Here is a 24,914-nt window from a genome sequence, read left to right on the forward strand (position 1 = left end):
CATGAATGGAGGAGGCTTGAGGCCCTCACCAGATGCACATGCTGGCACCATGCCGCTTTTACAGCCTGCAGAATCGTGAGCCACGTAAGCCTCTTTTCTTTAAAATTACCCAGTCTCAGATTTTTTTTTTTTAATTATACTTGAAGTTCTAGGGTACATGTGTACAACGTGCAGGTTTGTTACATATGTATACATGTGCCATGTTGGTGTGCTGCACCCGTTATCTCATCATTTACATTAGGCATATCTCCTAATGCTATCCCTCCCCCCTCCCCCCATCCCACAACAGGCCCTGGTGTGTGATGTTCCCCTTCCTGCGTCCAAGTGTTCTCATTGTTCAGTTCCTACCTATGAATGAGAACATGCGGTGTTTGGTTTTTTGTCCTTGTGATAGTTTGCTGAGAATGATGGTTTCCAGCTTCATCCATGTCCCTACAAAGGACAGGAACTCATCATTTTTCATGGCTGCATAGTATTCCATGGTGTATATGTGCCACATTTTCTTAATCCAGTCTATCATTGTTGGACATTTGAGTTGGTTCCAAGTCTTTACTATTGTGAGTAGTGCTGCAATAAACATACGTGTGCACGTGTCTTTATAGCAGCATGATTTATATTCCTTTGGGTAAAACACCAAAAGCAATGGCAACAAAAGCCAACGTTGACAAATGGGGTCTAATTAAACTAAAGAGTCTCAGATATTTCTTTATAGTAACACAACAACAGACGAAGACAATGAATGACTCTAATCTGATTCAGTCTTGGTAGGTCATATGTTTCCAGAAATGTGAACACTTCATCTAGGCCATTCAATTTGTTGATGCACAATTTTTCACAGTACTCTCCTATAAGCCCTTTTAATTTTGTTAAATTGGTTATAATATCCCCTCTTTCACTTTCAATTTTAGTTACTTGAGTCTTCTCTCTTTGTATCTTAGTCATTCTAGCTAAAAGTTTTCAATTTTGTTGATCTTTTTGAAAAATCAACTCAGTTTCATTGACTTTTCTCTATTGTTTTCTATTCCCTAGCTTATTTCTGATCTAATCTTTATTATTTCCCTCTTCTGCTAGCTTTGAGTTTAGTTTGTTTGTTTTCTATTCCTTCGAGGTGTGAGTTTAGGTTGTTCATCTGAGATCTTTCTTCTTTTTTACTGTAGGTATGTACAGCTACAAATTTCCTTCTCAGCACCGTTTTCACAGCATCCCAGAAGTTTTGGTAGGTTGTTTTCATTTTTATTTTGTCTCAAACTATTTTCTAATTTTCCTGTGATTTCTTCTCTGACCTACTGTTTAACAGTGTGCTAATTTCCACATATTTGCGTATTTTCCAGTGTTCCTTTGCCACTGATTTCTAGTTTCATTCCACTGTGGTTGGAAAGGATACTTTGTATTATTATTTTAACCTTTTTAAATTTATTAAGACTTGTTTTATGGCCGAATGTGTGGTTTATCCTGGAGAATGTTCCATGTGGACTTGAGAAAACTGTTTATCTGCTGTTGCTGAGTTCCATGTGTTTCTTAAATAGAGGAGACTGTCCTATCAATGTCGTTAATATATCTTCACAGATTTATGTCTTTAATCCATCTCTATTTTGTATGTGGTCAGAAGAAGGAATCCAACTTAATTTTTTAGAGTTAGTCAGTTTTACCCACATTATCCAAAAAAATAAATGACACTTATCTTCAATCATTAAAATGAAGTCCCACCTGTAACCTACACCGAGTTCCTTTTCATACATGTATTTGCATTTTTCCTCTGTACTATATAATTTCTAAAAGCACAGTTGTCTTAAACAAACCCATTCATTACAAAGTAATTGATATGTCTCTTAATCTTTGCTCCCTCCTCTATCTTTTTTTCTTTCAAATACTTGTTAGAGTGGTTTCTTTGTACTAAAGATTTGGGTAGAGTTTGGATTTTGCTGATTGTCTCCTGCGATGTTGTCTAGTATGCTTTCTTGCTCCCTGCATTTCCTGAAAATTTCTAGTTAAATCAGATTCAGGTTTGAGTTTTAGGAAGAGGAGACTACTTCCTAGACGGTGGTGTGTATTTGCATCTAGTTGTCTCTTTTGCTGATGTTAGCAGCTGCACTACATTCTCATTAGGTGTGTTCTGTCCCCTTCCTGCTACATGGGAAGCACTTGGGATAATACATGCTGTGTTCATCACTTTCTCCCCATCACCGAGCACCGTTTCTGGAAAACCAAGGGATCCAATATTATCTAAATTTTTAGTGAATACAGGAGCTCATGGTTCAGACTTATCTCTTCTACTAACTCTAATAGATCATGGACAAGATGCTTAATTTTTGTGAATCTTATTTTCACAGTCTGTAAAATGAAGGGATTGGCATTACCATGCCCCCTAATGTTCCTTGAATGATTCTACAACATGGCCATGCAAAGGTCAAGAAGATAGGCTGTCTTTTTCCTCCAGAAGTTGCAAGAAATAAAGAATTCCATCCCATGCATATATACTGACCAAGAAATGTTTTCTGGGGGGACTTTTTTGTTTTTCTTTTTGCAGAAACACATTTGATTTGGGCAATAAATTTATACTTAGAATAGAACAGCGTTTGTTGGTTACATATATCAAAATGAAGCAATGTTCAATTATGTTCAGTTCCATTCCATGATGGACTAGAATATAACAATATAATACACATATTATAACGTAGGTATGCACATGAACACATATGAATAACTAATTTAAATTCTGCTGAGAAAAATGCCAAAACCAAAGAGACAGGCCTATTGTCTATAAACAAATGCATATATTAAGTAATTATAAAACCACCCTCCATCTTTCTTGTTGTTGCCATTGTTTTAGAAAAACGGTCTTGCTCTCCGGCCCAGGCTGGAGTGCAGTGGTGCAATCATAGCTCACTGCAGCTCAAACTCCTGGGCTCAAGCAGTCCTCCGACCTTAGTCTCCTAAGTAGCCAGGACTGTAGGTACATCTCATCTTTACTGGCTAATTTTCTGCTTTTTAAGAGACAGGGTCTCGTTGTCATCCAGGCTGGTCTCAAATTCCTGGCCTCAAGAGATCCTTCCACCTGAGCCTCCTGGGTCATTGGGATTACAGGTATGAGCCACCACACCCAGCAACCTTCCATTCTTAACCAACTTTTGTTTAATTTCCAACAAATAACAGGAAAAACAAACTGTCCACCTTGAAAATAATGACATAAAATCATATTCATCTTTTTCCATATATACACATGTGTACACATATAACTTTTATTAAAACAAATATACACAAGCAAAGATCCCATTAAAGTTCATCCTTGGCAGTAACAAGGTGCAGATATGAGTAAAAAGTAGTAAAAACATGCAAGTTTACTACATCATGGGCTATGTTTTCAAAAATACAAAATCAAGTCATCTTTTGGAAAAACAAGCTTCCTCAACTTTTATTAAAATTTATATCCAGACTAAAAGAAAATAGTTACCAGTATAAAACAATATCAGAACTCAAGTTAACATCTTATATTTAACTACTTTGAGTTTCCTAAACATTGTCTAAGCAAACACTTATTCTCTAGCACAATGGTCAGAGAGTTAATGAAGATACAATTTTTCTAGGCAGAAATCAGTTATGTTCTACTATGCAAACCAAACAGTTGAATTGATTCTTATCCTTGTATCGTAAGCATTGAGGCTCATCCAGTATTTATTAGAATGGTGCTTGGTGGATAATCACTAGTCCCTTTGTGCACCAAAACTCAAGAGTTCTTAGAGGCTTGTTCCACATCATCATAGAAAGAGAAGGTACCACTCATTTTTTTATTCTAAGCAATTTTCTCTACTTCTCCTTAGCAAACTAGACACATCTGCTTCACACACTGCAACATAACAGTTCTATCAGAAATTAGAGCACCAGATTATCACAATAAAAGGACAAAGACAAGTGTCTCCTTTCTAAAAGCAGTGGTAATCAGTTGGTTTTAAAACAGCCACGTTCATCATATTCTCCTGTAATCGGAACACAGAAATGTGTCCTCATAATCAAGGTACTCTTTTCTAGGAACATAGCATTACTTCATTATTACTAACAACACAGCACAGCACCTAAATAATCTTTTTATCTCTTCAAAGCTGTAGAGGCTGTTCATATTGCCTAAGATCAACAACATTACAATTGAAAAAAAAAAGCAGCTAGCTGGCTAAAACACACACAATGCACACACACGCACACAGACACACAACCATACACAAACTTGGTCTCTCACATTAAACTCTGTAACAGTAAAAAACACTCCTAAATAGTTGTTTCTATTAAACTGTTTCTGTTCCAGAGAAGAAAAATACAATAATATATATGATTAGGGGTCATGATTCTAAAATCATTAACTTTATTTTTTTTTTATGATTGTGGTCCCATCAATTTAAATTTTCCTTTACACTTTCAAACAAGGTGGCCACACACTCGACTCCATTGTTCTTCTGGGGTTAGACAAGTGTGAGGTGACCCCAGTTAGGGATGCCCCAACAGGCATTAAGTTGACAGCACAAGAGCTTCCATCGCAACCCTCTAGACACTGCAACCGCCACAACAGTCTCTTGGTACTCATTTAGTGTCTTACTAAACGTTTACCTTGTCAATGATCATTACATTATGTGGATACTAAGACTTTGGTTAGATATCTCTACCTTTTGGCCTTTGTCTGTATTTTACAAATTTAGTTTACATTCAATCTTTGGTCTTCTAAAAGACCTTTGGTAAAATAAGTACACGCTTATCAGCAACATAAATACTGGACACAACTAAAATCACTTTCATTTATTCCCTAAATTCTCCCCCTACAAGTTCTGGAGATTTCCAAAAACTTGTAATCAACATAGCAAAGTGGGTGCTACCATTGCAAAGATTAGAGCACTTTTTTTTTTTTTTTTTTTTTTGAGACGGAGTTTCGCTCTTGTTGCCCGGGCTGGAGTGTAGTGGTTCGATCTCGGCTCACTGCAACCTCCACCTCCTGGGTTCAAGCGATTCTCCTGCCTCAGCCTCCTGAGTAGCTGGGATTACATGTGCCTGCCACCACTCTCAGCTAATTTTTGTATTTTTAGTAGAGACGGGGTTTCTCCATGTTGGTCAAGCTAGTCTCAAACTCCCGACCTCAGGTGATCTGCCTGCCTTGACCTCCCAAAGTGCTGGTATTACAGGCGTGAGCCACTGCACCCGGCCTAGAGCATTTTTATACTGTACACAATAACTTTTTAAAATAGAGATGCTTTATTTTCTAGCATAAAAGTAGAAAAAAGTAAAAGGAAGAATGGAACAAGAAATTTTGAAAATTATGTTTTCAAAAGAAAAAGCTGCTTATAGATCATGCTCACGTAATTCTCCAATATAATAATTCAGTCCTTTAAGATGACTTAAAAACATATTCCAAATGTGTTTGCTTATTCACAGTGAAATATTTGGTGATGAATCAGAGGTAGTCCAAAAAATGATCAAAATTCATTACCTAACATTCATGTTGAATGTGTTTAATCACTAAGCAATTATGGATTTAATATCTAAGATTGATTATCCAGTCAAATCGCCTCCCAGAATATTTAAAATCAAGTTGCTCTGCTGCTTTGTCAGAAAAATATGTGATTGCTTATGCATGTCAATGATTTACACATACACACATTTGGTAATGAGACATACAATAGAGCAAACTGAAGTTATTCCTTTCCCCAATCTATAGTATCTATTAACTCTTTAGTTTTAAACAAAGAAAAACCATATTTTATTTTATTTATTTTTTATTGTACTTTAAGTTCTAGGGTACATGTGCACAACGTGCAGGTCTGTTACATACGTATACATATATTGTACCAACATACATATGTTGGTGTGCTGCACCCATTAACTCATCATTTAACATTAGGTATATCTCCTAATGCTATCCCTCCCTCCTCCCCCCACCCCACAACAGGCCCTGGTGTGTGATGTTTCCCTTCCTGTGTCCATGTGTTCTCATTGTTCAATTCCCACCTATGAGTGAGAACATGCGGTGTTTGGTTTTTTGTCCTTGCGATAGTTTGCTGAGAATGATGGAAAAACCATATTTTATAAGACTATGAAGCTTACAGAATATAGTATATGTAGTACGTCCCAAACTAATCTGTTCCAACAGGTATAAGAAAAATACAACAATATATGTTTAAAAGTTACATTCACTAAAGGCAAAAAAGATAATCCTACATGGTTTAGATTTTCCATAGGAGAATACAGTTGAAGCAAGCTCTGCAGTGATAATATTCAAATAATTTATGTAAATTAGAATGGTCAAATGTTTCTGTCTATGCAATCCAACTGGATGTTAGTGTAGGTACTTAAGTTATAGAATGCTTATAATTGCACAGCATTCCAGTAACTGATAGAAGAAAAGACAATGATAGATGCTGATCCTTATTCCACGTCAAATGGCCTTGTATAGACTTTGCCTAACCAGAGTCTCAGATCCCACTGAGTGCTTTTCAAAAGGGGCATTTTTCCCTGTTATAACACAGGTACTATTTTTGGCCTCACAAAGCCTTCAGCCTAGACAGTGAAATCCCAGCTATAGACACATGCAAATAATCCTAGAATTTGCAAATATGCTACAGAAAATATCATTCTCTCTTTTATGTCAACCCTCACATCACCACTAGTACTCCCATAGGCAAGGGGAGACTGGCAAAGATTCTTTACACTGGAAACAAGTGATTCTGATAGACTGCAGATACTTACCTCAATACAGGTTGATAGCTCATTAACACAGCTTAGATTTCATGAAAAAGTCTGCTTCCTGGCCGGCGCGGTGGCTCATGCCTGTAATCTCAGCACTTTGGGAGGCCGAGGTGGATAGATCACGAGGTCAAGAGATCGAGACCATCCTGGCCAACATGGTAAAACACCATCTCTACTAAAAATACAAAAAAAAATTAGCTGGGCATGGTGGCACAAACCTGTAGTCCCAGCTACTCAGGAGGCTGAGGCAGGAGAATTGCTTGAACCCAGAAGGCAGAGATTGCAGTCAGCCAAGACTGTGCCACTGCACTCCAGCCTGGTGACAGAGCAAGACTCTATTTCCAAAAAAAAAGAAAAAGTCTGCTTTCTTGACTAAGGAGCACATGTCCAGTGATGCTACACGATACTACCCAGGTGCCCATTAGCAGTATGCAACAGTCATTTGATAAGTCCTAATCTAATGGTCTTGAAAGAGTTAATCTTCCAAACAGACTACAAAATAGTTTGTACACTGAAAATATCAAGCACAACTGATTACATATCTGAGTTTTTCAAGAGGAAAAAAACACAGAGCTAAGGGCGATCTACTTATTGATATCACAGTGAAGAACCGGAGAAAACACCTCGAATGATTATGAGACTTCTACATGGGGATTCTGGTAGGGGAAACCTGGGTATTTTACTTTGATCTTTATGAGTAGCTGTTTCATTGGCAATATTCTAACTATCTGATGGTAGTGGAAAATCATTTCAATATTTGAAAGTTACATACTTGATTTTCAGGTGAGCTACTCATGGCAATTTTTTAAAGGGCACAGTTTTCTATTCACTATGTTTGCTGACATACAATTCAAATATAGTACAATACAGAAATAAAGACATAAAATTCCATAAAGAACAAAGGAATCATACTGTGTACACTTAGCAACATAGTAATTCATACCAAGCATCAAGAAAAGAGTGTAAAATAAACTGCAAAAAGCGCTCAGTTGAGCATGGTTGATTTTTTAAGTTTCGGTTATCTGAAATTTGGAACACTGGCCTAAATGTTATCTTTACTATTTAAATGTGATTTTGATAAGAACTCAGAACTTTTACACATAAATGACTTGGGTAACGTTTTGGAGACAATTTACACACACACACATACACCAACAATGACAAACATAATTTGGTGTTTTCCAAATATGCTTAATGAAAAGAATCATTAGCAAATATATCCAGATAACTTTTTGTCTTACGTATATAGTTGCAAATCAGCAATTTATTCTAGTATGTGACACTTTGCTACAGACTTTTAAAATACAAGAAAACATGGTTATCATCTGTAGCAAAACACTTGATACGACATACCTCACAGTAGTCTCAAATAACAATTTGGGGTAAACTGCTGCCAAAGTTTATGAAACCATAGTTTTGTGATGCATTTTTTCTCTCTCAGACTTTCAGTACTATTAGGGCAGTGAAATTCTAAAATGAATTACTGAAGAATATTGTTTTGCAGTATCTATAATAGAAAAGCTATCTGGTTTCATTATTTACTTGCACAACTGAAGTGTCCATCTAGAACACAGTCAGCACCGCATCAAACAGTCTACAGCAACTTGATCCTTTGTCATTTTTAACTGAGCTCGTTCGACAAATTAATGAATTAACAGAGATCAATTCAAAAGAGCTGCTCAGTGACACAATAATAACAAGCCCAATGTCTAATAAAGTTAAATAAAATTTTATACATAACTGCTGCTTTAAAATCCCAGGGTAATTGACACCTGAATAAGAGCTCTGTAATATAATTTAGTTCTTTTTATTATTATTATTATTATTGTACTTTAAGTTGTAGGGTACATGTGCACAATGTGCAGGTTTGTTACACATGTATACATGTGCCATGTTGGTGTGCTGCACCCATTAACTGGTCATTTAGCATTAGGTATATCTCCTAATGCTATCCCTCCCCCCTCCCCCCTCCCCCCACCCCACAACAGTCCCCAGAGTGTGATGTTCCCCTTCCTGTGTCCATGTGTTCTCATTGTTCAATTCCCACCTATGAGTGAGAACATGCAGTGTTTGGTTTTTTGTCCTCGGAATAGTTTGCTGAGAATGATGGTTTCCAGTTTCATCCATGTCCCTACAAAGGACATGAACTCATCATTTTTTATGACTGCATAGTATTCCATGGTGTATATGTGCCACCGTTTCTTAATCCAGTCTATCGTTGTTGGACATTTGGGTTGGTTCCAACTCTTTGCTATTGTGAATAGTGCCGCAATAAACATATGTGTGCATGTGTCTTTATAGCAGCATGATTTATAATCCTTTGGGTATATACCCAGTAAGGGGATGGCTGGGTCAAATGGTTTTTTTTTTTTTTTTTTTTTTTGAGGCAGAGTCTCATTCTGTAGCCTAAGTTGGAATGTACTGGCGCGATCTCGGCTCACCACAACCTCTGCCTCTGGGGCTCAAGGGATTCTCCTAACTCAGTCTCCTGAGTAGCTGGGATTACAGGCGTGTGCCACCATGCCCAGATAATTTTTTGTATTTTTTTAGAGATGGGATTTCATCATGTTGCCCAGGGTGGTCTCAAACTCCTGAACTCAGTTGATCTGCCCACCTCAGCCTCCCAAAGTGCTGAGATTACAGGTGTGAGCGACTGTGCCCGGCCTATGATTTAGTTCTTTATCTGGTTGCATGCACAACTTGTAATATAGAGCAGCAAACATTTATGACCATGAGTATAGCTACCCAATGCTAACTCTGCCAGCTGAAAGGTTTGTGGTGTTGGTTGTGGTTGTGATTGTTGATGAGCCATTAACTGATTTATGTTCAGCCTTTCCCTCTGTAATAAGAGGCACTCACCCCACTTTCATTGTTTGTTCCATTTACAGAAAAAAAATTGTTCCATTTGCTCATTTATAAATAAAATTCTCTTTCATTTTTCTGCTAGAAGTCTTCAAAAAGTGAAGAAGAATGCAATTACCCCTTTTGTGGCACTCATTTACAATAAAAGTTTGCACACTCCTTCCCCTGAATGCATTCAGCAGCTTACTCTCACCCCAGCCCTGAACCGCATTCCTCAGTTAACATGTAACTCTCCATACATTCTGTACTTCTCTTGACTAGTAGAATTGGAGGGGTTTATAATGCTGACAGCACGTTAGCTCAGAAACTATGGCAGCAGCCAGGTAAAAGTTGGAAGTTTCCTCCACCACTCTGCTTTCCCAGACATCTGTCAAGAGCGAGGCCTTGCGCAGCGTGTCCATCTCACCCGGAACGTGGTGCTTTTTTAAACGGAGTCCACCTTTACTACATTATTGTTGGTCATCAGTGGAGACGGTTTCCATTTAACCCTATCGGCCACGTCGTTAGAGCTGTCCACAAAGAACACCCTGGCTGTACAGAGCGAGACTATAATTCTCCTGTATTCCTTCCTGAAATTTTGGTTCAGTAGCCCGTATATAATGGCATTGAGGCAGCTGTTGAAATACGCCATGTAGTAACTGGCCACAAACAGCCACTCTGGGATCCTAGGCACCATGCTGGCGGGGTCAGAGGCCACGGCCAGGCCAATGAAGTTCAGAGGAGCCCAGCAAATGGCAAAAAGGACAAAAACCACAAACATGGTGACAAAATTCCTGAAGTCCTGTGGTTTCAGTTTGGGTTTGCGGTCAGGTTTCACCCTCTGTCTGACCTGGAGAACCAGGATCCATATTCTCAGGTAACAGAAGATGACTATGATCATGGGGACGAGGAAGTGGAAAACCACCACGGCGATGGTGTAGGCGGAGCTGACGGACTGGGCGAAGGTGCACGAGTAGATCCTCGGGTCGTACTGGAGAGTCCCTGCACGGAGGTTGGGCAGGACGGCCGCCAGCGTCAGGAGCCATATGAGGAGCACGTAGCAGAGGGAGTTCTTGCTGCTGTACAGTTTGTCGTACTTGAGACTGTGGCAGATGTAGCAGTAGCGGTTGATGGCGATGCCGGTGATGTTGAATATGGAGCCGATGACGCTCAGGCCCATCAGGAACCCACTGACTTGGCAGTGCAGATAGCCCAGGTTCCACCCGTTGTTAAATATCGACATCAGCACCAACGGGTACGGATAAATGGCCACCACCAGGTCTGCCACCGCTAAGCTCACCACAAAGATGTTTCCTGAAAGAGAATCGTTTAGAAAATACAGTGAATACCAGTTCACAGTGGGTTTTCTGTTACAATTGTTAAAGAAGGAGCTGCTTCTGCAGCTCCGATGACCTGACGTCACAGCGGCGGCCGCACTGCAAATGAAGTGGAGGCCGTTTCCCAGGAGGGCCAGTCCACTGCCGCTCCTGACACATCGAATCCGCTGTTCACACATTCCCACCTCCCCAGAACAGGGCCTGTTCCATGTTCAAAACTGCTGTCTTTCAAACCGTTCGGCTTCTCATCTCTTAAAAAGTCCTGAGATCAGAATGCTTGCACACCATCTGTTGTTCTGGAGCCTTCTACATCACCTGAGAAATCTCATATGATGTCAAGCCAGCCACAACTTCCTTAAGTTCAAGTCTTCATTCCCTCTGTAGTGCTTCAGCAGCTCTCAGGGGGCCTCTAGCTTCTGTTCTTGCTGATCCCATAGAGAGGGAGTTAAGGGCAAGAGGGATCTGTCGTCAGCCGTCTGGATGAGAACATGGCTTCACTCCTTACTAACTGTCCAACCGGGGCAAGTTACTTGATCTCCCCAAGCACCTGCCTCCTCCCCTGGATGATGGGATAATGAGCAGCTTCCTCTTAGGGCTGTGGTGAGCACGAGATGAGACTATCTGTGGTGAGCGCCATGTACCGTGTCTTACACCATAGAAATGTTCTTATTCTACGACTCCCTCACCTTGAACCAAAGGAAAATGCAGAAATTCTCTTAGATCTTATAAAGAACTTACGTTACAAAACTTAAACCCTAAATAGTCTGTTAATTTTCTCAATTAATATAACAACACATATTTAATTACAGAAAAAAAAAACTCTAGTCACTTTTTTATTTTTATTTTTTTGAGACAGAGTCTTGTTCTGTCACCCAGTCTGGAGTGCAATGGTCCGACCTTGGCTCACTGCAACCTCCGCCTGCAGGGCTCAAGCAATCCTCCTACCTCAGCCTCCCAAGCAGCAGGGACCACAGGTGCACACCACCACACCCGGCTCGTTTTTGTATTTTTGTAGAGACGGGGTTTTGCCATTTTGTCTAGGCTGCTCTCAAACTCCTGGGCTCCAGCCATCCACTTGCCTCGGCCTCCCAAAGTGCTGGGATGGCAGGTGTGAGCCATTGCTCCCAGCTACATTAGTCAAATATTATGAGATGTTCTGCAAATATGTTTTTTTTCTTTTGCGGCTCTTCTGCCTCTGTTTCTTACTATTCCTTCTGCCTCGAATGGCTCCTCACATCAACTTTCTAAATCCTGCCCATTCTCCCAAGTCTATCTCAAATAGAAATGCCAGAAGCCTTTGCTCATTTGCCCACCTAGTGGTAAGAGCTTCCTCCTTTGAAGGGTCTTAAAGCACTTTATACTGCTTTTTACTCAGATTAAATTATAATAAATTCAATTCAGTTTACATATTAAATGCATATATTTGGTGCAGGGGGAAACAGGAATTGAGAGACAGGAAAAGTCAAAAAGATTACACTAGAGTGGTTGGGCGCAGTGGCTCACACCTGTAATCCCAGCACTTTGGGAGGCCAAGGTGGGTGGATCAACTGAAGTCAGGAGTTCAGGACCAGCCTGGCCAACATGGTGACACCCCGTCTCTACTAAAAATACAAAAATTCGCTGGGCGTGGTGGCGGGCACCTGTAATCCCAACTACTTGGAAGGCTGAGCCAGGAGAATTGCTTGAACCTGGGAGGCAGAGGTTGCAGTGAGCAGAGATCGCGCCATTGCACTCCAGCCTGGGTGACAAGAGCAAAACTCCGTATCAAAAAAAAAAAAGAAAAAAAAGAAAAAGAAAATTACACTAGAGTAAGCAGCAGCACCAGAGCACGCACAGACCAGAAGCTGTGAGGAAAGGGGTGCGCTGGACAGGGACAGAGGGAGCCCCAGGTGGACGGACAGAAGATTTCGCCTTCTATTCTATTGACCTGTAGGCCAGGCTTCCCTGCGTCTCCAGATGGTGGCCCTCGTGAGTACATTTCCTCATATTTGCGTCCTAGACCACACCCAATAAATACAGTGACTTTTGCTCATACACTCAATGAGTTCATTAAACTGTCACTTCCCAATATTTGAAATGAGACAGCCCATAGCAGTCAAGATGAGAGAAAGGCAAAATTTGTGCCATTTATTTAGGAATTTCAGATAAATTGTCATAAAAGCAAATACTTTAAAAATTGGTTGTATTCATCCAAATTAAAGTTACAAAGGCAAATTTATTTTCCCACAGATCACTTTCAATTAGCGTTGAAACATTTAAATTCCTAAGAGGTGTATTTTAATAAATTATTTAGCTCAAAATGTTTAATGCTTTAAAAGCATCTATAATATGTGAAATTCTGTTCCAAATCAAACTGTCATTGTAACAGCACATTTGTTCCCAGAGTGTCATGATGACAAACTGGCCTAATATGGATTTATTTTTAAAAGAGCTTAAAAATGAAATCACAAATGATGTCATAAATTTCTTTCATGGCTCGAATACCCTGCTTCATTTATTTTATAGTAATTATGTTGCATTACAATTCAAGCAATTACATTAATTAGATCATTGATTCTTTGAATTAATCCCATTTTACAAATCTTGGTGAAAATTAATTAAGCCACAGACTCCCCACAGGTGCGGCTGTCAGGTAGCTCACATAAAGCTTTAGCACCAGTGTTCATGTGTGCCTGGGGGGTGTGTGGTGTCTGGGCGGAGAAGGAAAAAGGGAATTTCCTTTTTTCTTTTATGAACTTCACCAGATAAGAGTCATTAAATCATCTAATTATAATTATACACATTATAAGTTCATCTATTCCATTCTCAAATCTATGTAACTCCAGACATATGGACAATCTACCCATTTTTACAGATATCCAGGACTGTATGCAACAAGCTTAATAATGCATTCTGAAATGTAAAATAATGTCTGTTCATGGGTAAGAATTTCTTCTCTGTTGAATATAGTTCCAATCCTTACTGTGGCAGAATCATAGAATCATAGGATGTTAAAATTGAGAGATGGGTTAATGATCTCCCTGGATAATTCCTACTTTTTAAAGATGAGAAAACAAAAATATAGAGTTAAATTGGATGAAGTCGTACGACTACTTAGTGAAAGAGTCAGGATTATACCAATGCTATGAACTGGTGAGTGTTGTTCAATGTTATTTCCCTGAGAAAGCTCCTGTGCTCCTACAGATACGAGACTCAGAAACTGGGCCCTGTGGCTACGTCCTGGCTTACAGCCTCTCCAGGCACAATTCTGAAGAAGCGTATTTGAACTAGAACATTCTAAAGAGAAGATGGGGGAGGAAAACACCTAAGTCAGTATGCTGGCAACAAGACGAACAGCGATCAGCCTTGTGGTGATTAAAGGCACCAACTATAAAATGCACAGTCAATATTTGTTCCCAGGAATAAAACCTTAAAGTGGAAGTGAAATATGGCACAGATATGAATAAAATAAGGTAACAGACAACTAAAATGTCAGCTTGCTGGGAGTACCTTCCTCAGAACTAGTCCTGTGAGTCCCTTCTGGGAATGACACAGCAGCACGACGTTGCTTTTCTGTTTATCGCGATTATGTCTCTACTTCTCCCCATCTCCCACAGCCCCAGCTATCACCTCGGTGAGGACACTGCCTGTCTTAGATATCTTCTCCCTCCACCTTGAACAGTACCTGGCCGAGGGTTAATCGATGCACAGTGGGTTTATATTGTGTCAACTTCGCGAAGCTGAAAAGACTTTTCCTTGCACCGCTCCGGGTTAGTGTTCCCCACAAGAGGCAATTGCGTGAGATTTTGAAGGCGGAAGTGCAGCAGTAGCTTGCTCTCTGCCCTCAGTATGTCTGTGTCAAGTGCCAGACGCCACCACAAGCTCGGCACTCCGAGTCTCATCTGCTGCCCTGCAGGGGGTGGGTGACGGCAGTGTGCTCACAGCTTCTCCAGCTCCTGCTCACCTCCTCCTGGCTTGAGATTCGACCATCCTCCAGAGCTCCAGTCCCTCCTCCCAGGTTCTAGCTTCCCCTGCGTCCCCTCCTAACATCCAGCTTTCCTTCTTAAATCCGTGGACTTTAGACAGCAGCACCAGACACAGAAGCGAAAACCTCAAATACGCTATTTAATCAGCTCACACAACTGCTCTAGCAATTTTACTTCTTGGATTGATTGAACCCAGACTGATACAGAATTTGGTTCTGGAAGTGGACCAAGGAGAACCTTCAGGATGGTTTCTCTGTATTGGTTTTGGGTTACCTGCAGTCGATTCTGTAATAGGACTAGCTTTAAAGTATTAGAAATCCTATTTCCAGTAGTTAAGGGACACTGGTAGTCACGGCCTGCAGGGGCAAAAGAATTCCTTAAAAGACCACCTGGGCTGGGTGTGGCAGCTCACGCCTGTAATCCCAGCACTTTGGGAGGCCGAGGCGGGGGATCACGAGGTCACGAGATCAAGACCATCCTGGCCAACATGGTGAAACCCCATCTCTACTAAAAATACAAAAATTAGCTGGGCGTGGTGGTGCGCACCTGTAGTCCCAGCTACTAGGGAGGCTGAGGCAGGAGAATCGCTTGAACCCAGAAGGCGAAGGTTGCAGTGAGCTGAGATCGTGCCACTGCACTCCAGCCTGGCAACAGAGCAAGACTCCATTAAAAAAAAAAAAAAAAAAAAAGGCCACCTGTATTCACCTTCCAAGGTGAAAACAATGTCATTGCATCACCCTCCAACCACTAAGATGAAAAACAAAATATACCAACCATACAAAGGGTTGGACGTATTAAACCAACCCATTTCCTGAGTGACTCAAAAAGCTGTCAGTGTTGACTGGAGCCCAGAACAAGGCCCTGAAGGCTGCTCAGCCACCTGATCCATCTGATCCAATGGCTATGGTCTAAATGTGTCTCCCCCAAAATTTATGTGTTGACACTTAATCGCCAATGTGATAGTATTGAGAGGTGGGGCCTTTAGGAAGCCATTAAATCATGAGGGTGGAGCCCTTACAGATAAGATTAGTGCCTTTATAAAAGAGGTGCCAGGGAGTTGTTCATCTCTCCACCATGTGAGGACTCAGCATTCATCTGCTCCAGAAGACACAGCAAGAAGGCACCATCCTGGAAGCAGACAGCAGCCCTCACCAGACTCCAAATCTGCCAGTGCCTAGATTTTGGGCTTCCCAGCCTCCAGAACTGTGAGAAACACATTTCAGTTATTTACAACTTCCCAGTCTACATTGTTATAACAGCAGGAACAGATTAAGACACCAATGGGGCTTGAATTGTTTATAGGGTTGTCCCTTGGTATCAGCAGGGACTGACTCCAGGATCTCCATAGACACCCAAATTCATGGATGCTTGTATTAGTCCATTCTCATGCTGCTGATAAAGACATACTCGAGACTGGGCAATTACAAAAGAAAGAGGCTTAATGGACTTACAGTTCCACGTGGCTGGGGAAGCCTCACAATCATGGTGGAAGGCAAAGAAGAGCAAGTCACATCTTACGTGGATGGCAGCAGGCAAAGAGAGAGCTTGTGCAGGGAAACTCCCCCTTATAGAACCATCAGATCTTGTGAGGCTTATTCACTATCTCGAGAACAGCATGGGAAAGACCTGCCCCTGTGATTCAATTACCTCCCACCAGGTCCCTGACAACCCATGGTAATTCAAAATGAGATTTGAGTAGGGACACAGCCAAACCGCATCAATGCTCAAGTCCCACAGTTGGCCCTGCAGACCCTGTGAATATGTGAAGTTGGCCCTCTATGTCTTTGAGTTCCACATCCCTCAAATATTGTATTTTCAATCCATGATTGGTTGAATCCCTGGATGTGGAACCCATGGATATGGAGGGACCACTGCATGTTAATAGGAAGGCTGTAAGGAGGCCTTAGCAGGCACATTCAGATGACTCATAACACAGACCCTTAGTACTTTGCAGCAAATCTGTGCTCTCCTTTGCAGATACCGTTTTTTACTTCCTACTTGGCCTTGGTAGAGTCTGAATGCTCGAACATGGACCCCCAAGTGACCATGTGATCTGAAAGCTGTCTGAAGGACCAGGTGCTGTCTATCTGAAGGACCAGGTGCTGTCTGTCTGAAGGACCAGGTGCTGTCTGACTGACTGAAGGACCAGGTGCTGTCTGTCTGAAGGACCAGGTGCTGTCTGACTGACTGAAGGACCAGGTGCTGTCTGTCTGAAGGACCAGGTGCTGTCTGACTGAAGGAAGGACCAGGTGCTGTCTGACTGAAGGACCAGGTGCTGTCTGACTGAAGGACCAGGTGCTGTCTGACTGAAGGACCAGGTGCTGTCTGACTGAAGGACCAGGTGCTGTCTGTCTGAAGGACCAGGTGCTGTCTGACCCACCAAATCACCAAATCACAAAGTTGCCCATCACAGCATCAAACAGAAGCCGCACATCCAAGATCTGGCTCCGGCAGCTCCTGAAGGCACAGGGAAGATGCAAGAGCAAGTGGCTCAGAGGCCACAGCCTGCGTTCCCACCACCCTGCCTCCATTCCCTCAGCATGCTCCTATGGCCTCATGAGGACGTGCCCCTGACCAGCTGAATAAGAAAGAAAAAAACCTTCTTGCCTGGTTTCCACATGGCTTTTCATGACCTACTGACACTACCTGAAATTGGATGGTTGCAGCACTACAGACCCAATTCAGTACAGCCCTGAAAAACAAGGATGGAGGAAGACCCTCCCAGGAAACAGAACTTTGAGCAATGCTTCAAACTGGTTGTTCATTTTTCCTGGAAGGAGAGAGGGCCACAGGTTTAGATCTGCACTGATTAATGGGCAGTGGCTAATGGTCAGCTAGACCAGGGGTCCCCAACCTGATGGGGACAGTAGCTAATGGTCAGCTAGATTCATGGGCAGTGGCTAATGGTCAGCTCGATCAGGTTGGAGACGGCTGATCTAGCTGACCATTAGCCACTGATCTAGCTGACCATTAGCCACTGCTCTAGCTGACCATTAGCCACAGACTGGGTCCGTGACCTGTTAGGAACCAGGCTGCACAGCAGGAGGTGAGCAGCATATGAGCAAGCATTACCGCCTAAGCTCCCCCTCCTGTCAGCTCAGCTGTGGTATCACATTCTCATAGGAGTGCAAACCCTATCGTGAACTCCATGTGAGGGATCTAGGCTACACCCTCCTTATGAGAATCTAACTAATGCCTGATGATTTGAGGTGGGACAGTTTCATCCCGAAACCATTCCCCCACCCTGTCCTGTGGAAAAATTGTCTTCCATGAAACCAGTCCCTGGTGCCAAAAAGGTTAGGGACCACTGAGCTAGATGGGCAACGATTTGGAAGAAACATAATTAGAAAACCGGTTATGGGGCTCTGGGGAAGACGTAGCACACAGACCTCTCAGAATGGACACTTGGTGTGAAGATATTTGTGTCTTGATGATGCAACCTGTGTATATCAGTTAATCTGTCTTTGGCCACCAGTCCTTGACCAATGGGCTCACAAAGTTGTCATGGCAGCAAGGATAGAAGTTATTCATGAGCTCAGCATCAGATTACTCCTCATGAAAACTGATCTGGATGCAGCCACTGCTGCACTGCTGAATGTCCAGCCTGCCAAGAGTGGAGATAACACCAGCGGAGCACCATTCCCTGGGAAAATCAGCCAGACGCTGCTGGTAGGTGGATTACATACCACTTCCATCATCAAAGGGAGCAGTGGTTTGTTCTGGCTGGAACAGAGGCATACTCTGAATATGGATGTGCCTTTCCTACCTTTTCAGGCCCTTAAATCTTCCAGCAACCTAACACCCACGGACGTACAGGACGCCTTCTCCACCGTGATGGTATTCCTCATGGCGTTGCTTTTGACTAAGGAATTCCTCTGACAGCAAATGAAGTATAGCAATGGGGCCATGTCCTGGGAATTCACTGCCCTTACCAGGTTTCCCATCTCAAAACAGCTGACCTGATATGTTGGTGGAATGGCTTTTGAAGGTTCAGTTTCAGCACCAGGCGGGTGAGCCTAGGGTACAGATCCCTATCATGTGGCACCTGCTCTAAATCAGTGATTAACATAGAATGTTGTTCATCCCATGGCCAGGATTCATGGATCAGAAAATCAAGGGTGAAAATGGCAGCTCATCCTCTCATATTACCCTGGTGATACCCTAGCAAAATGTTTGCTTCCTTTCTGTGAAACTTTAGGTTCTGTTGGTCTAAAGTCTTAGTTCCCAAGGGAGCAATGCTTCCACCAGGAGATACCCCTTTGGTTTCATTAAACTGGAAATTGAGGCTAGGCACAGATCCTGGCACTTTGGGAGGCTGGAGTGAGTGGATCACTTGAGCCCAGGGGTTCAAGACCTGCCTGAGCAACATGGTGAAACTCCATCTCTACAAAAAATAAATTAGCCAGGCGTGCAGGTGCATGTCTGTATTCCCAGTTACTCGGGAGGCTAAGGTGGGAGAATCACTTGAGCCCAAGAGTTCAAGGCTGCAGGGAGCCATGATGGCACCACTGAACTCCAGCTCAGGCGACAGAGCAAGATCCTGTCTCAAAGAAAAGAAAACCAGAAAACTGGAGGTTGAGAGTGCCACCTGCTATTTGGGGCTCCTCATTCTAGTGAATCCATAGACAAGGAGGGGGGTTACTGTGCTTACCGTGTTTAGTCCTGATCATCAAGGGGAAACTGGGTTATGATTGCACAGTAAGAGCAAGGAAGTATAGATCTGGCATGCCAGAAATCCCTCGCGTGTCTCAGTACTCCCATGCCCTGGGATTGAAGCCAATGGGAAACCAAAATAACCCAATACAGGCAGGAATGCCAGTGTCCCAGAGTGTTAGGAATGAAGGCTTCAGCCACCAGAACATGCAAAGAGCCAGAGGGCAGAGGAAATGAGGAGGGAATGGTAGTTCCAAATACCCACTGTGGCCACCTGGCCAACTGCAGAAGTGAGGGCTAAAATAATTATGAGTATTTCCTGCTTGCTTTAGCATGAACAATTTGTGAATATAGTAATAACTTTGTGTCTCTTTCCCTCTGCTATTCCCCTACCATCTCATATAAGATGTGTTAATAGTGAACCTTGTATCTCAGAATGTAAGTTATAGGATATCAAATGGGGAATGTGACTCAACTAGAATAATAAAAATGATGTAAAGTTGCATAAAGAGACTGTATTTTCTTTTACAAAGAGGGTTAATGTATTTTCAATTTTACACGGGATAGTTGCTTTGTTAGATGGAAGCATAATTTTGATGTTTCCTTTATTTCGAAGTTAAATATGGTTAAAAGATATAGCTAGAACCCAAGTTGTCAAGGGGTGGACTGTGTTGAATTAGTATTGTGTCAACTTAGCTAAATTGGAACTATGCTCCCTAGAATTCTGTTTTCTGCATAATTATAGGATAGCCTCACCCACAAAAGAATTTTGTATAAGATTTGGAAGGTGGAAATGAAGCAGCAGCTATTTTTTTCATTTTTTCTTCTTGAGATGGAGTCTGGCTCTGTCACCAGGCTGGAATGCAGTGGTGTTATCTTGGCTCCCTGCAACCTCTGCCGTCCCCCACCCCCACTGGGTTCAAGCAATTCTCCTGGCTCAGCCTCCTGAGTAGCTGGGACTACAGGTGCACGCCACCATGCCCAGCTAATTTTTGTATTTTTAGTTGAGATGGGATTTCACCATATTGGCCAGGATAGTCTCGATCTCTTGACCTCATGATCCACCCACCTCGGCCTCCCAAAGTACTGGGATTACAGGCGTGAGCCACCATGCCCGGCCTGCAGCAGCCATTTGTGTAATGCTTTTTTATGCTAGATATGCCGTTATTAACTAGTAAAAGCCTTAACTAAGTAAATCTACAGGATCTTCCTATCCTGGGCCAGACTCTTACCTTTTATCAGTCATTTCTGCTCTTTTTTAGAAATCCCACACTGCAATCCTCAGGCTGATTTGCATTTGAATGAATACTTCTGCATCACTTTGCTTTTTTGTGAATTACACAGAAATCTATCAACCTATCTGACACTGTGCAAAGTGTGGACCCTGTGTCTGAAGTTTTCATGAACAATGAAAATGTGTATTTCTGAAAAACGTCTGTTTCTACAGCTCTAGCCATCTTTTTCCTCATTTGATAATCTCCAAATCTGTGCAATGATTAACCCTGCGGACACTTTCTTTCCTTCTGCGTGTGGGTTAGCAGGGCCCATTACCACAGCAAGCCTGGGCTCCAGGCGGCTTCTGCTCATCCTCTGTCTTTCAGAGGTGTTGTCGTAGACGCTGCTGGCGCATTTCTCCCCAAAGTGTCTGTGAGTTCTGGGAGCCTTCATTTGGCAAGGACTGGATCCTTCCCCAGAGACTGCCTTCACTGATCACAGAGCCACTGAATGGGGTACAAACGACCAGTCCCTTTGCCTCAAGTAATGGCAACTCCACTGGATTTACGCCCAGAGGCCCCAACTTATGGATGAGGCCAAGTCTCAGCTTTCCCTGAGACCCCATCCCTCCCTGACCCTTTCCCCTGCCCTGATCTGCTCTCCTCTCTTTCTTACAAGCTCCCCCTGAGAGTGCTCCCTCAGCAAAGCACGAGTACCAAGCCTCTGTCTCAGGTTCTGTTTCTAGCAAACCTGAAATAGACCTTCAGCTCTATGATGAGGTTGGGTGGTTTCCTAAAGAGGTCACTGGCTTCTAGATAGAAAAAAAGAGCTACTTACTATGGTGTCTTACAGACACGAGCCAACCATACCGGGTAGGAGTTACAGGCTGTAGCTGCCCACCGGCACTGCTCTTCCATGCTTCCAACCTCACTACGTGTGCATCTGCTTCCAATATTGAGGCAACATGAAAACACACACATTCGCACAGCCGTCTGTCTCCCTCTGAGACTCAGGTCCTCACTGTGGACATGAACCTTCACATTCTCACGGTGAGCACAGAGCCTGGCCCATATTAGGTGCTCGGAAATAATTTGCTGATTGAATTAACGCACCCTTTGGCCTCTGAACTACTCCCTCAGAAAAGCAGAAATTACTTGCTCTTCCTGCTCATATCCACTAAGATGTTGGTTTTTCCCAGCAGGTCAATATTCACTCCTTCTTTCATTTCAGCCTGGACTTTAACCACGTGGAAAGCAAGATTAGAGGCCCCCTGAATAGTACTGTTCACGAAGACTAAAAGGAACTGAGTGTGCCTGAGCTTAAGCATCACGAAGACCAGTAATAAAGAACTATTTACAAACTTGGTTTGTATTTTTTAAAATTGCACGTGCATACATGTTACCTGTATGATAAGAGAAAGCTGAGCTACCGCAGGTGTGTAGGGAATATTCTCTGGCAGTACAAGGGAAAGGGAAGGGCTTTACTTCGAGGCATCAAAGCACACAGTCCATGTTTTAGATTCTTAAATGTAAAGAGACTATACCTTAGAAAAGTGTCTTTTCAGATTACTAGAGGCAGTGTGCACCATGAGTGTGGAAACAAAAGCCGGATTCAGATCCCAGCCACGCCACTTGCTAACGTGACCTCAGGTAAGTCACAGCTTCCCACAGCCTCAGTCTCTTAATATGCAATAAATCAAGCTGCTTAGGGCCGTGGTGAGGATTTGAGGGCGTGTGGCCCATCTTCCTTTGCAGGATTATTCACTCATGTCTTATTTCTGTTCCCCTGTGATGGAAACCACACGTCTTGCTTCACGGAAGGTTCCTCCCTGGCACACAGTCCTGGCTAGGGAGGATCCTCCCTGATCCCTGCAATGGAACAGGGGTCTCTCCATAGCCGATGAGCCTCCTCTCATCCCCCACCCCTCCTGCCGTCGGCCTCACTGCTCCCCTCCCCCTTCCACACACGGCTCTCCACAGCACACATGACAGTGCATCACCCCGCAATGCCCAGGCTTCAATAGCCCTGCAGTATTCAGTGACATACTTGGTGACTCCTTCTCCCAGCCTTTAACTCCTTAAACTCCCCAAACTATAATACCCTCTTCATGTGACACGCCATCCACATCACACCCCATTAACGGGATATGCTGTCCACACCACACCCTGTTCATGAGACACGCTGCTCACCTTGCACCCTGTTCATACAACAACACACCATCCGCCTCGCTCCCTGTTCATGCCACCCACATCACACCCTGTTCATGCCACCCACACCACACCTGTTCATACAACACACCATCCACACCACACCCTGTTCATACAACACACCATCCGCCTCGCTCCCTGTTCATGCCATCCACACCACACCCTGTTCATGGGACACACCGTCCACACCACACCCTGTTCGTGGGACACACCGTCCACACCACACCCTGTTCGTGGGACACACCGTCCACACCACACCCTGTTCGTGGGACACACCGTCCACACCACACCCTGTTCCTGGGACACACCGTCCACACCACACCCTGTTCCTGGGACACACCGTCCACACCACACCCTGTTCCTGGGACACACCGTCCACACCACACCCTGTTCCTGGGACACACCGTCCACACCACACCCTGTTCGTGGGACACACCGTCCACACCACACCCTGTTCGTGGGACACACCGTCCTCACACCCTGTTCCTGGGACACACCGTCCTCACACCCTGTTCCTGGGACACACCGTCCTCCTCACACCCTGTTCCTGGGACACACCATCCACACCACACCCTGTTCATGGGACACACCGTCCACACCACACCCTGTTCATGGGACACACCGTCCACACCACACCCTGTTCATGGGACACACCGTCCACGCCACACCCTGTTCATGGGACACACCGTCCACACCACACCCTGTTCGTGGGACACACCGTCCTCCTCACACCCTGTTCGTGGGACACACTGTCCACACCACACCCTGTTCGTGGGACACACTGTCCTCACACCCTGTTCATGGGACACACTGTCCTCCTCACACCCTGTTCCTGGGACATGCTGTACCCATCACACCCTGTTCCTGGGACACACCGTCGTCCCACACCTGGTTCATGGTACTCGCGGTTGTCTGAACACCCTGTTCCATCTGAGCACCTCAGGGCTCCGTTGCCTCCTGGATTCCACGTGTCCTCCTGGCTCATTCCTCTCTCTCTCTATCCCACTCTGTCTCTAGTTCCCCACCTGTTCTCTAACTTGACTGTTGACTGCTGCTGTAGAGAAAACTAGTAGACCTTGGCACTGCTTTCTATTATACACGGTATTGTACACTGTACACTTTACATTGTACACTGTATTGCATATACACTGTATATACAATACGAGAGACCAAAGGCACCTGAGGTGTCTTTAAGAAATCATACACATTCCTGCTTGTTCCCATCTGGATTTCAGTCAGTGTTAAAGGTGTAACATCCTGCAAATAATCCTGCTCATTTTCTATGCCCAGTGACTGTCTTCTGAGAAGGGTGGTTTAGTGAGGCATTTGTAACTTGTAAAACATCCACAGTACAGCCTGACTGGTTCAGCCTTTCACCCTTAAATGGAAGACGAATTACTGATACTGTACCTTTATTCGTCTTAGAGAATTTAGGATGAAACTTTAACAAAAACAAAATCATAATCCTTCAGCGACATTAACAGGCAATCAAAAAAAAACTATATGAACTCTCTTTAGGGTAGGAGTCTTTTTTCCCTTAGGCACTTTTCCGAACCTTGAAGGACTCAGTGAAAACCCCATCTTAAATAAACAGATTAACTGCACTAAATAATAACTCTAAATTGCTAAATCCAAAAGAGAGTTTTATTAAAAATGGTATAATCATAATAGAACCCTATTTATATATGAAAGTTAAATCAATGACAGGAAAATATGTTAACACTACAAAAGTATAAAATAATATTCTCATAAAAGTAACTTTTTAAAAGTTAAAACTTTGACTCTATTTTTATGTACTTACAGAGTATTTAAAGACCTGTAAGTGTGAAATATTGCATTCTGCCTTAAAAATAAAAATATGTTTACACATCAGAACTCTACACCAAGAATACTAACTAACAAAAGGAATTTATTCTGCTGCTGGGAATGTTATATTTAATTCATAATGCACTTTAAGTATACAGCAAGCCATT

At 43.0% G+C, this 24,914-nt stretch overlaps 1 protein-coding gene and 1 long non-coding RNA gene across 3 annotated transcripts in view, besides 2 other annotated features; one reads left to right on the plus strand and one right to left on the minus strand.

Moving 5' to 3' along the window:
• Positions 1 to 22,094, plus strand: LOC105377596 (uncharacterized). The gene is made up of 3 exons (XR_007058498.1): positions 1 to 84; positions 1,158 to 1,216; positions 21,965 to 22,094. It is a non-coding gene; the product is annotated as an uncharacterized LOC105377596 (long non-coding RNA).
• MTNR1A (melatonin receptor 1A) overlaps positions 9,976 to 24,914 on the minus strand; it is a 21,913-nt gene continuing 6,974 nt past the window's right edge. Inside the window, exons 1-2 of one of the 2 annotated variants that reach the window (XM_011532002.4) lie at positions 14,566 to 15,032; positions 9,976 to 10,878 (exon numbers count right to left, since the gene is read on the minus strand). In XM_011532002.4, the coding sequence (XP_011530304.1) occupies positions 10,010 to 10,807 (798 nt within the window). In that variant the 5' untranslated portion in view covers positions 10,808 to 10,878; positions 14,566 to 15,032 and the 3' untranslated portion in view covers positions 9,976 to 10,009. Of the gene's footprint in view, positions 10,879 to 14,565; positions 15,033 to 24,914 lie in introns of those variants that run through there. The other variant, NM_005958.4, reaches the window with a different exon arrangement.
• Positions 14,282 to 14,783: an enhancer, noted in NCBI's record as "H3K4me1 hESC enhancer chr4:187459115-187459616 (GRCh37/hg19 assembly coordinates)". NCBI's record gives its function as "activates a minimal SCP1, AML or CMV promoter by ChIP-STARR-seq in naive H9 embryonic stem cells {active_cell/tissue: H9 hESC(naive)}" and the evidence as "EXISTENCE:reporter gene assay evidence [ECO:0000049][PMID:30033119]".
• Positions 14,784 to 15,283: an enhancer, noted in NCBI's record as "H3K4me1 hESC enhancer chr4:187459617-187460116 (GRCh37/hg19 assembly coordinates)". NCBI's record gives its function as "activates a minimal SCP1, AML or CMV promoter by ChIP-STARR-seq in naive H9 embryonic stem cells {active_cell/tissue: H9 hESC(naive)}" and the evidence as "EXISTENCE:reporter gene assay evidence [ECO:0000049][PMID:30033119]".

Source organism: Homo sapiens, chromosome 4 (assembly GCF_000001405.40).
Source record: "Homo sapiens chromosome 4, GRCh38.p14 Primary Assembly".
NCBI classification, from domain to species: Eukaryota; Metazoa; Chordata; class Mammalia; order Primates; family Hominidae; genus Homo; species Homo sapiens.